General features: G+C 45.6%; 2 protein-coding genes across 2 annotated transcripts in view, besides 3 other annotated features; one reads left to right on the top strand and one right to left on the bottom strand.

The window, feature by feature from the left end:
• Positions 1–4,894, bottom strand: part of NCAPD2 (non-SMC condensin I complex subunit D2) — a 37,854-nt gene extending 32,960 nt beyond the window's left edge. Inside the window, exons 1-2 of the mRNA NM_014865.4 lie at positions 4,842–4,894; positions 3,771–3,920 (exon numbers count right to left, since the gene is read on the bottom strand). Of these exons, the coding sequence (NP_055680.3) occupies positions 3,771–3,897 (127 nt within the window). The 5' untranslated portion in view covers positions 3,898–3,920; positions 4,842–4,894. The remainder of the gene's footprint in view (positions 1–3,770; positions 3,921–4,841) is intronic.
• Positions 4,702–5,299: an enhancer, noted in NCBI's record as "NANOG-H3K27ac hESC enhancer chr12:6602863-6603460 (GRCh37/hg19 assembly coordinates)". NCBI's record gives its function as "activates a minimal SCP1, AML or CMV promoter by ChIP-STARR-seq in primed H9 embryonic stem cells {active_cell/tissue: H9 hESC(primed)}" and the evidence as "EXISTENCE:reporter gene assay evidence [ECO:0000049][PMID:30033119]".
• Positions 4,937–5,266: a silencer, noted in NCBI's record as "silent region_4166". NCBI's record gives its function as "represses an Ori minimal core promoter by ATAC-STARR-seq in GM12878 lymphoblastoid cells {active_cell/tissue: GM12878}" and the evidence as "EXISTENCE:reporter gene assay evidence [ECO:0000049][PMID:35858748]".
• Positions 5,467–5,516: an enhancer, noted in NCBI's record as "active region_5862". NCBI's record gives its function as "activates an Ori minimal core promoter by ATAC-STARR-seq in GM12878 lymphoblastoid cells {active_cell/tissue: GM12878}" and the evidence as "EXISTENCE:reporter gene assay evidence [ECO:0000049][PMID:35858748]".
• MRPL51 (mitochondrial ribosomal protein L51) lies at positions 5,734–7,110 on the top strand. Its single transcript, NM_016497.4, has 3 exons — positions 5,734–5,938; positions 6,024–6,134; positions 6,529–7,110. Exons 1-3 carry the CDS (start codon positions 5,860–5,862, stop codon positions 6,723–6,725), a joined length of 387 nt encoding a protein of 128 aa, NP_057581.2. The 5' UTR covers positions 5,734–5,859; the 3' UTR covers positions 6,726–7,110.
• Positions 7,111–13,343: the final 6,233 nt, after the last annotated feature.

The raw sequence follows: 13,343 nt of genomic DNA, 5'->3' as shown, positions 1-13,343 counted from the left end.
CTTTATTTTACTTAATAATGGCCCCAAAGTGCAAGGGTAGTGATGCTGGCATAGTTACAATTGCTCTATTTTATTAATATTATTGTTAAACAGGCCAGGCGCAGTGGCTCACACCTGTAATCCCAGCACTTTGGGAGGCCGAGGTGGGCAGATCCAAGGTCAGGAGATCGAGACCATCCTGGCCAACATGGTGAAACCCGTCTCTACTAAAATACAAAAAATTAGCTGGGTGCGGTGGCTCACGCCTGTAGTTCCGGCTACTCAGGAGGCTGAGGCAGGGGAATCTCTTGAACCTGGGAGGCGGAGGTTGCAGTGAGCTGAGATCACAGCACTGCACTCCAGCCCGGTGACAGAGCAAGACTCCGTCTCAAAAAAAAAAAGAATTGTTGTTAATCTCTTACTGTATCTAATTTGTAAATTAAACATTACCATAGGTAGGCAGGTAGAGGGAAAAAACCATAGTATATACAGGGGTTGGTACTATTCCAGTTTCAGGCATCTAATAAGGGTCTTGGAATATATCTCCTGGGATAAGGGTCCTACTGTACTACATATTTACTTGTTTATTACTTGTTAAGAACCTTGAAAGGAAGAACTTTGTCATTTTGTCTGTTTTGTTTACTGTTGTATTATCAATGCTTAGAACAATGTCTGGCACACAGCACATGATCAGTAAATACTTGTTAAATGAATTAAATGATTTGATCTTATTTATAGGAGAAGTTGTATTCAGGATTCTAAACACCAAAATCATCAAAGCAATGCAATTGTTTTAAAAAGGACTCTTGGCTGGGTGCAGTGGCTCACACCTGTAATCTCAGCACTTTGGGAGGCTGAGGTGGGCAGATCGCTTGAGCTCGGGAGTTTGAGACCAGCCTGGGCAACATGGCAAAACCTCGTTGCTACAAATAACACAAAATTAGCAGTGCATGTTGGCACATGCCTGTAGTCCCAGCTACTCGGGCGGCTGAGCCCGAGAGGTTGCAGTGAGCTCGGATGGAGCCACTGCACTCCAGCCTGGGCAACAAAATGAGACCTTGTCTCCAAAAAACAAAAGACTCTTTAAAAAAAAAAAAAGTGGCTGGGCGCGGTGGCTCACGCCTGTAATCCCAGCACTTTGGGAGGTCGAGGCGGGTGGATCATCAGGTCAGGAGTTGGAGACCAGCCTGACCAACATGGTGAAACCCTGTCTCAACTAAAAATACAAAAATTAGCCGGGCGTGGTGGCATTGCCTGTAATCCCAGCTACTTAGGAGGCTGAGGTAGGAGAATCACTTGAACTCGGGAGGCGGAGGCTGCAGTGAGCTGAGATTGCGCCACTGCACTCCAGCCTGGGTGACAGAAGGAGACTCAGTCTCAACAACAACAACAACAAAAAAGTGACAGGAACAAGATCATGTCCTTTGCAGGGACTCAGCAAACTAATGCAAGAACAGAAAACCAAACACTGCATGTTCTTACTTACAAGTGGGAGCTGAACAATGAGATCACATGGACACAGGGAGGGGAACAACACAATGGAGCCTGTTAGAGGGTGGAATGGGGGGAGGGGGAGCATAAGAAAAAAATAGCTAATACATGCTGGGCTTAATACCCAGGTGATGGGTTGATAGGTGCAGCAAACCAACACAGCACGTTTACCTATGTAACAAACTTGCACATCCTGTACGTGTACTCCAGAACTTAAAAAAAAAAAGGTGACCATTTAAAAAAATGATGCATCATTATAATAAGTGAAGAGTAGTTTGTCATAGTATGCAGCATGTTCAATTGGTGACACATATATCCACATGATATGGACAGAATAGTATACCTGTGGACACTGTTGGTTTGCCATCCATTAGGCAACCTCCACACTCTGCCTTCTTCCTTGCTTACCAAATGGTTGATATGCTCAAGTTTAGGGAGGCTCCTAGGTAATAAGCTTGATCAGTTAAACCAGTCTGGGTAATTCTATTTCTCTTACCTGTACAGTCCTGTGCCCTGTAACATTTTGGTAAACAATAGACCACATATGCGACAGTGGTGTCATAAAAATATAATACAGCTGAAAAATTCCCATCGTCTAGTGACTTCTTGGTGACCTTGACCCTGTGTAGGCCTAGGCTAATGTGTGTAGGTGTTTTAGTTTTTAACAAAAAAGTCTGGCCGAGCATGGTGCCTCATGCCTACAATCCCAGCACTTTGGTACATGTCTGTGGTCCCAGCTACTTGGGAGGCTGAGGTGGGAGGACTGCTTGAGCCTGGTAGATTGAGGCTGCAGTGAGCTGTGATCAGGCCACTGCATTCCAGCCTGCAATCCCAGCACTTTGGGAGGCTGAGGCGGGAAGACTGCTTGAGCCCAGAAGTTCGAGACCAGCCTGGGCAACATAGGGAGACACTGTTTCTACAGAAAATTTAAAAATTAGCCAGGTATGGTGGTGCATGTCTGTGATCCCAGCTGCTTGGGAGGCTGAGGTGAGAGGATTGCTTGAGTCTGGGAAGTTGAGGCTGCAGTGAGCCGTGATCATGCCACTGGACTCCAGCCTGGGCAAGAGAGTCTTTACCTTGTCTTTCAAAATAAAATAAAGAATAAAAAGTACAAAAAGAAAATTCCTTTTTCCACTTCTGGACATTAGAGGAAGAAGCTGCCATCTAGACTGGTGCAGTGGCTCACGCCTATAATCCTAACACTTTGGGAGGCCAAGGTGGGTGGATCATGTGAGGTCAGGAGTTCAAGACCAGCCTGGCCAACATGGTGAAATCCCGTCTCTACTAAAAATACAAAAATTAGCCAGGTGGTAGTGGCGTGCACCTGTAATCCTAGCTACTTGGGAGGCTGAAGCAGGAGAATCGCTTGAGCCTGGGGAGGCAGAGGTTGTGGTGAGCCGATATCGCATCACTGCACTCCAGTCTGGGCAACAGAGTGAGACCCTGTCTCAAAAAAAAAAAAAAAAGAAAAACAAAAAGAAGTTGCAATCTAGCAACCATGAAAGAAAAGCCAAGAGGAGACAAGCTAGGACCATATTGTCGAGCTGCTGCATTAACCAACCCTTCTTCTTGTAGGTGATAACAAAGGAATTGGTTATTATCTCTATATTTACAGATGACGAAACCAAGGCACTGAGACAATTAAGTAACTTGTCTAAGGTCAGAGTGGTAGAACCAGGATTCAAATCCAGGCAGCCTGGCTCCAGTCTTTAATCTCTATACCTCTCCAAAGCAAGCTAACTGCTACAAGACCGCTCCCAACAAGTACAAGGACATTATGAAGTCTTTCTGGTAATGCAAAAGGTGCTTTTGATCATTTACAGGTTTCAGTAGGTGACTGCACTGTACATATATTGCTCAGTGTTGCAGTGGTACATATATATTATGGGTTTTTGTCCCCATAATTGCACATCCAAAAAGACTCCAAAAAGGTATTACCAAAAACAGGTCGAGTTAAGTCCGAGACATTCTGAAAAAGCGATCCACTCCTATAACTCTTAAATCCACCAGGACTTAATTTTGACACACAGTAAGGGGTAAAGATGGAAAATAACTTTTCCCCAAAGAGTAATCACATACACCAAGACTGTTTTTGACTAATCCAGAAAAGGAAGTTAATGAATGTACTCTTTGGGTCATGCATCCCATGCAATTTTAGGATAAAACAGCAAAATAGGAAAAACATGTTTCTTGCTCTTATGATGCTTCCTGGTGTAGTGGAACAGAAATGACAATGTAGCAATTCCATGTGAGATGGTCCTTTGAAAGAGCTAGGTACAGTGACAGCTATGGACTCTTACCTCTAAGCTGTGGTGGAAGATGTTTGATGGACAGTACCTCTTGCACAACATACTGATTCACCCCTCCACTTTTCAACAACTCCTCTGGGGATAATGGCAGATGGAACTCATACATTTGGGGAGCCATTCTACTCCTACAGGCTCACAGGGCTAGAAACCAAACAGTGAAAAAGTCAGGGTCTATATTCAAGACCTGTCTTCGTATCTGGTTCTATTACTTTCCCATCCCCAACATATATAATGGCTTTTAGTTTTATAGCAAGCTAGTAACATCATCTGGTTTTGTTAGTTCCCCACCCCCAACATATATAATGGTTTTTAGTTTTATAGCAAGCTAGTAACATTATCTTACGGGATCTGAGATTGACCCTGGACTAGAAACTAATTCTAGTAGTGACTTTGGCACTTGGTCTTGACACTTAAACCTCTGGGCTTTATCTGTAAAAACAGGGTTACTAAACTCTGATTACTTCACAAAGTTGCTCTGATGATCAAACAAATCAAGCAGTACGAAGGTGTTTAAAGAACTATAAAGTGGCATATTAATGTGCAAAGTACTATTATTTCCATTTTTATGTGCAAAGCTCCTTAAGTATAGAGAGAATGGTCTGATCTCGTCTGAGGCCAAAACAGTGCCCCAGCATGGGCTAGTGGGCTTCCTGCACCAGAATGGTAAGAGCATTAACAATGATGATTTATTTATCCTGTGCCAAGTCTGTTAGGCTGTTTGCATGTATCATATCTGATCTAAGTATCCTAACCTCAATCCCATGAGGTGCATAATAATACAAATGAGTTTACAGAGCGGAAATTGAAGTAAGAAAGTTAAGCGATTTGCTTAACATCTTCCGTTGCGGATCTGTTAAGCGATTTGCTTAACATCTTCCGTTGCGGATCTGTTAAGCGATTTGCTTAACAACTTCCGTTGCGGATCTGTCAGACTTACAGTTTCTCACACATCGCGCCCCAGGGATATACTTACTAGGCCTATTGTATTTTGCCCAAGACTGGGTCACACTGCCATGTACTCGACTTTCCTACTCTTTTACGACCTGCAACACCACATCTTACCTGGGGATCTCACCCGCGGCTCTGATTCCGGCAGTCAGGCTGAAATGAAAAGGAAAAAACACGCGTGCACAACACGCACCAATTAGCAAGGCAGTTTTCAAGTCGGCGGAGAATCCGGCCAATCCCCGGCAGGCAGAGGCAAAGGGCCGCCTCTGAGTCTGGCAACGCGCGGGCAAAGCCACAAATACCGAGTTCAAATCTCAACGGCTGCAGGACGGCCAATCGCGACGCCCGCCGGAGCGGCCGGCCAATCACAGCGCCGCCCGGGGGCGGGCCAAGGCTCCGGCTCCGGCCCCCGCTCCCACCCCCGGCCCGCCTGCGAATCCCTCCTTGGCCGCAAGGTCCCCCTTTGCCCAGTCGGCGGGGAGGAGGCCGTATTTCTGCTGGCCAGAGACGTCGCGTCCCTGGCTGGGCATTCAGTCACCCCCAGGAAAGGAGGCAAGTCCACGCTGGGAGTTAGAAGGCATCGCCTCTAATCCAGGTTTCGCCATCTCCTCTGCTAAGTGACGTCCAGCAAGTCACTTCACTTTCAGGACCTCAAATCTCCTCCCCAGTAGTAAAATAGGGGTAATAAAAACAGCTACAGCGGAAGACTGTTGTGAGGCACAGAGAAAGGGCTTGGTCATTGGAAGCGGGTTCCAGGTTCTCAACCTTCATTTCCTTCACGGTTGAAGGACGCCAAAGAAAGCGGAAAGGGTGAATTTTCTTGAAATCTCAGTTTTGGGGAATCTTAGCGACGAGTCGCGGACCTCAGCTTGTCCGGCGCTCCAAAACTTCCGGCAGGCGGACCGGAAGCACTGAGGCGGGAAGGGTGGTAGAGGCCCCTCCTGCCGGAACCCGGGGGGCGGGGCTCGTGGCTGTTGCGGATGGGGCGTAGGTGGGCGGTGCGCCCACAGCTGCCTGGGTAAGGCCCAAGATGGCTGTCTTCGCCTTAGTACTCGTGTGAAGTTGGCGGGGACGGTTCCTGTCATCTTCTTGGGCTTATTTGGTGTGCTGTTGAAGGGGGGAGACTAGAGAAATGGCAGGGAACCTCTTATCCGGGGCAGGTAGGCGCCTGTGGGACTGGGTGCCTCTGGCGTGCAGAAGCTTCTCTCTTGGTAAGTGGCTGATGTAGGCACCCCGATAACTGCTTCGTAGTATAATAGGCGGCTCAGATTAATTCCCTCCCTTCCCCATCCCCAGGTGTGCCTAGATTGATCGGTATAAGGCTCACTCTCCCGCCCCCCAAAGTGGTTGATCGTTGGAACGAGAAAAGGGCCATGTTCGGAGTGTATGACAACATCGGGATCCTGGGTAAGACTTGACCTTCGACGTGGTACACAATTTCAGAATGGCAATTAGGCTGTAACGACTATCTTTTCCTCCTGTGTAGAGAGTGGTACTGTGCTCAATAGTAAGAGCAAACACTTATGTAGCTGTTTACATTGTGTTTGGCACTGTTCTGAGTCCCCTCGTATAATTTTTACTTCATAAGTAAAAATAAACAGTTTTTCCAAAGTTAATAAATGGCAGCATCAGAATTTTAACCCCAAGCAGTCTGGCTCCAGAGTCTGTGCTATTGTTCTGTACTGTAATGTTCCTTGTCTATAGGTGCTGCTCAGCAAGATGCAACCGTGGGTTGAAAGCTTAGCTGGTGTAGGATGAGTTCTCTTGTCTTGGATCTAATGTGTTCTCTCACATTACACAGGAAACTTTGAAAAGCACCCCAAAGAACTGATCAGGGGGCCCATATGGCTTCGAGGTTGGAAAGGGAATGAATTGCAACGTTGTATCCGAAAGAGGAAAATGGTTGGAAGTAGAATGTTCGCTGATGACCTGCACAACCTTAATAAACGCATCCGCTATCTCTACAAACACTTTAACCGACATGGGAAGTTTCGATAGAAGAGAAAGCTGAGAACTTCGGAAAAGGCTCATCTGTCACCCTGGAGAAGGGAAACTGTACTTTTCCCTGTGAGGAAACGGCTTTGTATTTTCTCTGTAATAAAATGGGGCTTCTTTGGAATTTGATAGCCACATACTTTTGTTTTCCTCTAGATGCTGCCTCTACTCATGTAGACTATGAAGTCTTGACTCATCCTAGATCTTAGGATCTTAGGTTTGGGCTTCACACCACTTGCCTTTTACAGTCTAGCTATACCTAATTCCTTTAAAAAGAAAAGTTGGTGAGAATGTTATTGGCGCTTTTTGACATAATGCTGTTATGTTAATAGTGTTTCTAAAGAGCCTTCCACACTGAAATGAAATATAAGAGAAAAATGGAGTCATACTTCTGTACTACTCTCATAAAATATTTATTAGGCATATTCTCTGAGTAGGAACTATAGGAAAAACAAAAAAGTGTGAGGTGTCCTTTCCATTTAAATATGAAACATTAAGTACCATATGAATGGTAGAGATGGCGGATACTAAGCCTGACTGGTCATCAGTTTTCTGGGTGTTTTAACATTTCAAAAGCCTAGTCCTAACCCCTAAAGATTGATCAGTAGAGCTGAGTTGAGTCTAGGGCATCTATGTGTTTTGTTCTTTTTTAATAATAATTTTTAAGAATTACAGCTGGGCAGAATGGTGCCCACATGTAATCCCAGCATTTTGGGAGGCTGAGGTGGGAGGATTGCTTGGAGACAGGAATTTGAGACTGGTCTGGGCGACATGGTGAAACTCCGTCTCTACTAAAAATAAAGTGGCTGGGTGCGGTGGCTCCTGCCTGTAATCCCAGCACCTTGGGAGGCGGAGGGGGGCGGACCACGAGCTCAGGAGATCGAGACTATCCTGGCTAACACAGCCCTGTCTCTACTGAAAATACAAAAACAAACAAACAAAAAAATTAGCCAGGAGTGGTGGCGGACACCTGTAGTCCCAGCTACTCAGGTGTCTGAGGCAGGAGAATCACTTGAACCTGGGAGGTGGAGCTTGCAGTGAGCCGAGATCGTGCCACTGCACTCCAGCCTGAGCAACAGAGCAAGACTCTGTCTCAAAAAAAAAAAAAAAACAACTTAGCTGGGCATGGTTCTGCATGCCTGTAGTTCCAGCTACTCATGGTTCTGCGTGCCTGCAGTCCCAGCTACACAAGAGGCTGAGGTGGGAAGATCACCTGAGCCCAGGAGTTTGAGGCTGCAGTGAGCTGAGATCATGCCACTGCATTCCAGCCTGAGCAACTGGGGTGAGACTGTCTCAAAAAAAAAAAAAAAAAAAAAGTGAAGTTAGGGCTGGGTGCAGTGGCTCACACCTGTAAGCCCAACACTTTGGGAGGCCAAGGCATGAGGATTGCTTGAAGCCAGGAGTTCAAGACCAGCCTGGGCAACATAGCAAGACCCCATCTCTATATTTTAAAAAACAAAAACTCCATAAAAGTGAAGTTAGATTAATAAATACTTGTTGCGGGGCATGGTGGTTGGAGCACACTTATAATCCCAGCTACTCTGCAGGCTGAGGTGGGAGGATCCTTTGAAACCAGGAGTTGGAGGCCAGCCTTAGGAACATAGCAAGACCCCATCTTCAATAAAAATAAAAAGCACTTGTTAAATTACAAGTGGGTTTTGGATAAATGGATTGATGGGTATATATGAAAACATGATCCTGGGTCTTACGGAAATGTTTAGGAGAGTCAGTTTTCAGAGGGGTGGCTGGAAGGAGCTATGCATAAGAATGGAGAAGTTGATGTGAAATGTGAGTGGCTGTATACTTTACATGATTTGGTGGTGCTAGAGTGGAGAAAATAAAATATTTGGGACTCTGCTAAGTGCAAGGTGCCCTGAAGAAGATATCTACATATCCTGGTAGAGTATCTGATTGTTAGGGAAGAGGAAATTAATAGGTCAATAGGCATTTATAGAATATTTCCTGATTCAAAGATACAAAAGGTTTTGTTTTCAAGGACAGAACAATCTTGTTTGTGGTATGAAACAGTATATAACGTTTTCTTTGAATAAATATTGAATTATTATGTGCAAAGATATTTGGAGGAACAAAAATCACCAAGGTAGGGTTGGTTCCTACCTCTAAGTAGTCTTCATTCTACTTAAAAGATGTCCGGTGGCTCACACCTGTAATCCCAGCACTTTGGAAGGCCTAGGTGGGCGGATCACGAGGTCAGGAGATCAAGACCATCCTGGCCAACATGGTGAAACCTCGTCTGTACTAAAAATACAAAAAAATTAGCCAGGTATAGTGGTGTGTGCCTGTAATCCCAGCTACTCGGGAGGCTGAGGCAGGAGAATCGCTTGAATCCGGGAGACAGAGAGGTTGCAGTGAGCTGAGATTGCACCATGCACTTCAGCCTGGGCAACAGAGGGAGACTCTGTCTTTAAAAAAAGAAAAAAAAAAAAAAAAAGACGTCTGAAGGATGTAAAGTTACAAGATGGTGGACCAATGTGATACTCTGCAGAATGTGCAAATGGTCCACATTTTTTAGATTACATCATGACAGAGAACAGAATTAACATAGCCCTGATGAAAGACCATGACTGTATACTGTTGTTCATCCCCTCCGTGGTGGACTGCTTCTGACCAACATGCTTTAGAAAAGAATGTTGGTTGGGCATGCTGGCTCAGGCCTGTAATCCCAGCACTTTGGGGGGCCAAGGTGGGCGGATCACCTGAGGTCAGGAGTTCGAGACCAGCCTGACCAACATGGAGAAACCCTGACTACTAAAAATACAAAATTAGCTGGGCCTGGTGGCACATGCCTGTAATCCCACCTACTCAGGAGGCTGAGGCAGGAGAATCGCTTGAACTCGGGAGGTGGAGGTTGCAGTGAGCCAAGATCGTGCCATTGTACTCCAGCCTGGGCACCAAGAGCGAAACTCTGTCTCAAAGGAAAAAAACAAAAAAGAAAAGGATGTTCGCCAGGTGCAGTGGCTCACACCTGTAATCCCAACACTTTGGGAGGTTGAGGCGAGAGGATCAGCTGAGCCCAGGAATTCGAGATCAGCCTGGGCAACATGGTGAAATGCTGTCTCCACAAAAAAAAAAAAAAAAAATTAGCCAGGCGTTGGTGGCATGTGCCTGTAGTCCCAGCTGCTGTGGAGGCTGGGTGGAAGGATTGCTTGAGCCTTGGGGGTCGAGGCTGCAGTGAGCTGAGCTTGTGACACTGCACTTCAGCCTAGGCAACAAAGCAAGACCCTGTCTCAAAAGAAAAAGAAAAAGAAAAAAGAAAAACAATGTATTTGCTAAATCAGTGGTCACAAACCACAAATGTGAGGCTATGTTAATCTGCTCCAATAAAGATATCCCATCCAGCAGACAATTAGCACTGGGATTCCCACTTGGTTAAATTGGCAGCAGCTTCATCCAGTTTATACAGGGGTAAGACTGGAAAAAAGAAAAAAAGAAGAGATGTGTATGTAAACAAAATGTAAATTTAAATATGATAATGAAAGCGAGTCCCATGACAGGTTTTTTTTTTCTTTTTTTTTTTTGCTGAGGGGGATGATCAGAAAAGGTATTTGTTGAAAAGATGGCATTAGAATGAGCTCTTGAGGCCAGGAGCAGTGGCTCATGCTTGTAATCCCAGCACTTTGGGAGGCCGAGGTGAGCAGATCACTTGAGGTCAGGAGTTCAAGACCAGCTTGGCCAAAGTGGTGAAACCCCATCTCTACTAAAAAAATACAAAAAACAAATTAGCTGGGCATGATGGCACATGCCTGTAATTCCAGCTACTCAGGAGGCTGAGGGGGGAGGATGGCTTGAGCCCAGCAGGTGGAGGTGGCAGTGAGCTGAGATCAGGCCACTACATTCTAGCCTGGGCAACATAGCAAGATCCTGCCTTTAAAAAAAAAAAAAAGGAAAAAAGAATTCCACCCAGTGCAAGAGGCAGATGAAGAAGCATAGTTATGAAATCCAGTATGTCATGACATTTAAAGTTTGTTAATAGCTATGTGTATAGGTGTGGAGAGGAAGAGACACCTATCTTTTCCTGAGGAAGCAGGAATGGGGACGAGAAGGGCTTTAGAGAAGAGGTGACCACTGAGTTGTCTTAAGGGAGTGGAGGCTAGCAGTTTTTCCAGGCAGTTGAAGCAGAAATAAAGGCCTAGAGTCAAGAAACAGCATGGTGTGCATGAGAAAGCTATGAGTGGTATTTACTGGTGGAGCTACTGCTTGTGGTAAAAGACAGGGAAAGAGATGGGAAGCAAGAGTCAGATCCTGAAGATTGTAATGATTATTAAAATTTAGCCTTTAGGGGGCCGGGCGCGGTGGCTCACGCCTGTAATCCCAGCACTTTGGGAGGCTGAGACAGGCAGATCACGAGGTCAGGAGATCGAGACCATCCTGGCTAACACGGTGAAACCCCATCTGTACTAAAAATACAAAAAATTAGCCTGGCATGGTGGCGGGCACCTGTAGTCCCAGCTACTTGGGAGGCTGAGGCGCGAGAATGGCGTGAACCCAGGAGGCGGAGTTTGCAGTGAGCTGAGATCGCACCACCGCACTCCAGCCTGGGCGACAGAGTGAGACTCCATCTCAAAAAAAAAAATTTAGCCTTTAGTAAAATGGTGCAGCCACTTTGGAAAAGTGGCAGTTCCACAAAAAGTTAAGTGTAGAGTTACTGCATGACCCAGTAATTCCACTCCTAGGTTTATACCCAAGAAAACTGAAAACATATGTCCACACAAACACTTGTACATAAATCTCCTTAGCAACATTATTCATAATAGCTAAAAAGAAGAAACAATCCAAATATCCGTCAGCTGGTGAATGGATACACAAAATGTGGTCTATCCATACAATAGAATATGGAATATTATTATTATTATTATTTGAGACAGAGTCTCGCTCTGTCGCCCAGGCTGGAGTGCAGTGGCCCGATCTCGGCTCACTGCGAGCTCCGCCTCCCAGGTTCACACCATTCTCCTGCCTTAGCCTCCTGAATAGCTGGGACTACAGGCACCTGCCACCACGCCCGGCTAATTTTTTGCATTTTTGGTACAGACGGGGTTTCACCGTGTTAGCCAGGGTGGTCTCGATCTCCTGACCTCGTGATCCACCTACCTTGCCCTCCCAAAGTGCTGGGATTACAGGCGTGAACCACCACACCCAACCAGAATATGGAATATTATTTTTTTAACTTTCTTTTTAACACTCCTTCCTGCACACTGACAATGGAATATTATTAAGCTGTAAAATGAGGTACTGGCCAGCGTAGTGGCTCACACCTGTAATCCCAACACTTTTGGAGGCCAAGCGGGAGGGGAGGATCACTTGAGGCCAGGAGTTTGAGACCAGCCTGGGCAACATAGTGAGACCCTGCCTCTAAAAAATAAAAAGAAAAAAATAGCTGGGTAGGTTGGTGAGTACCTGTAGTTCTGGTGAGTGCCTGTCGTCTTAGCTACTTGAGAGGCTGAGGTGGGAGGATGGCTTGGGCCCAGGAGTTCAAGGCTGCAGTGAACTATGATCACATCAGTGCACTCCAGCCTGGGAAACAGAGCAAGAGCCTATCTCTCTCTCTAAAAAAAAAAAAAAAAAAAATAGGGCCAGCCACGGTGGCTCACGCATGTAATCCCTGCCAGCAACAAGAACAAAACTCTGTCTCAAAAAAAAAAAAAAAAAACAACGGGTGGTGGCTCACACCTGTAATCACAGCACTTTGGGAGGCAGAGGTGAGCGGATCACTTGAGGTCAGGAGATCGAGATCAGCCTGGCCAACATGGTGAAAGCCCATCTCTCCTAAAAATACAAAAATTAGCTGGGCATGGTGGCGGGCACCTGTAATCCCCAGTTACTTGGGAGGCTGAGGCAGGAGAATCGCTTGAACCCAGGAAGCGGAGGTTGCAGTGAGCCGAGATTGCGCCATTGCACTCCAGCCTGGGTGACAAGAGTGAGACTCCATCTCAAAAACAACAAAACAACAACAACAACAAACCCAAAAATTAGCCGGGCGTGGTGGCAGGCGCCTGTAATCCCAGCTACTCAGGAGGCTGAGGCAGGAGAATCGCTTGAAGCCGGGAGGCAGAGGTTGCAGTGAGCTGAGATCGCGCCACTGCACTCCAGCCTGGGCAACAGAGTGAGACTGTCTCAAAAAAAAAAAAAAAAAAAGAAAAGAAAAGAAAAGAAAGAAAAAAAAAAGGCATCCTCTTCTTGTTCTAAATCTTAAATGGAATACATGTCTATTAAATATTTGTTATGAATCTCTAGTATATAACTTTTACCAAGTTAAGATATTTCCTTCTGTTCCAAGTTTAACATTCGTTTTAATTATAGATTTGCATTTTTTAAAATTCCTTTTACAATATCAAATGAGATAATCAAAAAGAACTAAAACCTCATCTTTTATAACAGGAATCTAATTGATTTCTACAAAACTGATAAAGTGGCTGGGTACAGTGGCTCAAGCCTGTAATCCCAGCACTTTGGGAGGCTGAGGCGGGTGGATCACCCAAGGTCAGGAGTTCAAGACCAGCCTGGCCAACATGGCAAAATCCCATCTCTACTAAAAAATACAAAAATTAGCTGGGCATGGTGGTGCATGTGTGTAATCCCAGCTACTTGGGAGGGTGAGGCAGG

The sequence above is a fragment of the Homo sapiens genome, chromosome 12 (genome assembly GCF_000001405.40).
Source record: "Homo sapiens chromosome 12, GRCh38.p14 Primary Assembly".
Lineage (NCBI taxonomy): Eukaryota > Metazoa > Chordata > Mammalia > Primates > Hominidae > Homo > Homo sapiens.
This window is presented reverse-complemented; position numbering and strand designations above follow the sequence as displayed.

What these genes read in the sequence shown, in the direction of transcription:
- MRPL51 (NM_016497.4), top strand. Translation starts at nt 5,860, where the DNA reads ATGGCAGGGAACCTCTTATCCGGGGCAGGTAGGCGCCTGTGGGACTGG. An exon ending in GTGCAGAAGCTTCTCTCTTG is followed by an intron (nt 5,939 to 6,023) that starts GTAAGTGGCTGA and finishes CCCCATCCCCAG; the next exon opens with GTGTGCCTAGATTGATCGGT. An exon ending in TGACAACATCGGGATCCTGG is followed by an intron (nt 6,135 to 6,528) that starts GTAAGACTTGAC and finishes CACATTACACAG; the next exon opens with GAAACTTTGAAAAGCACCCC.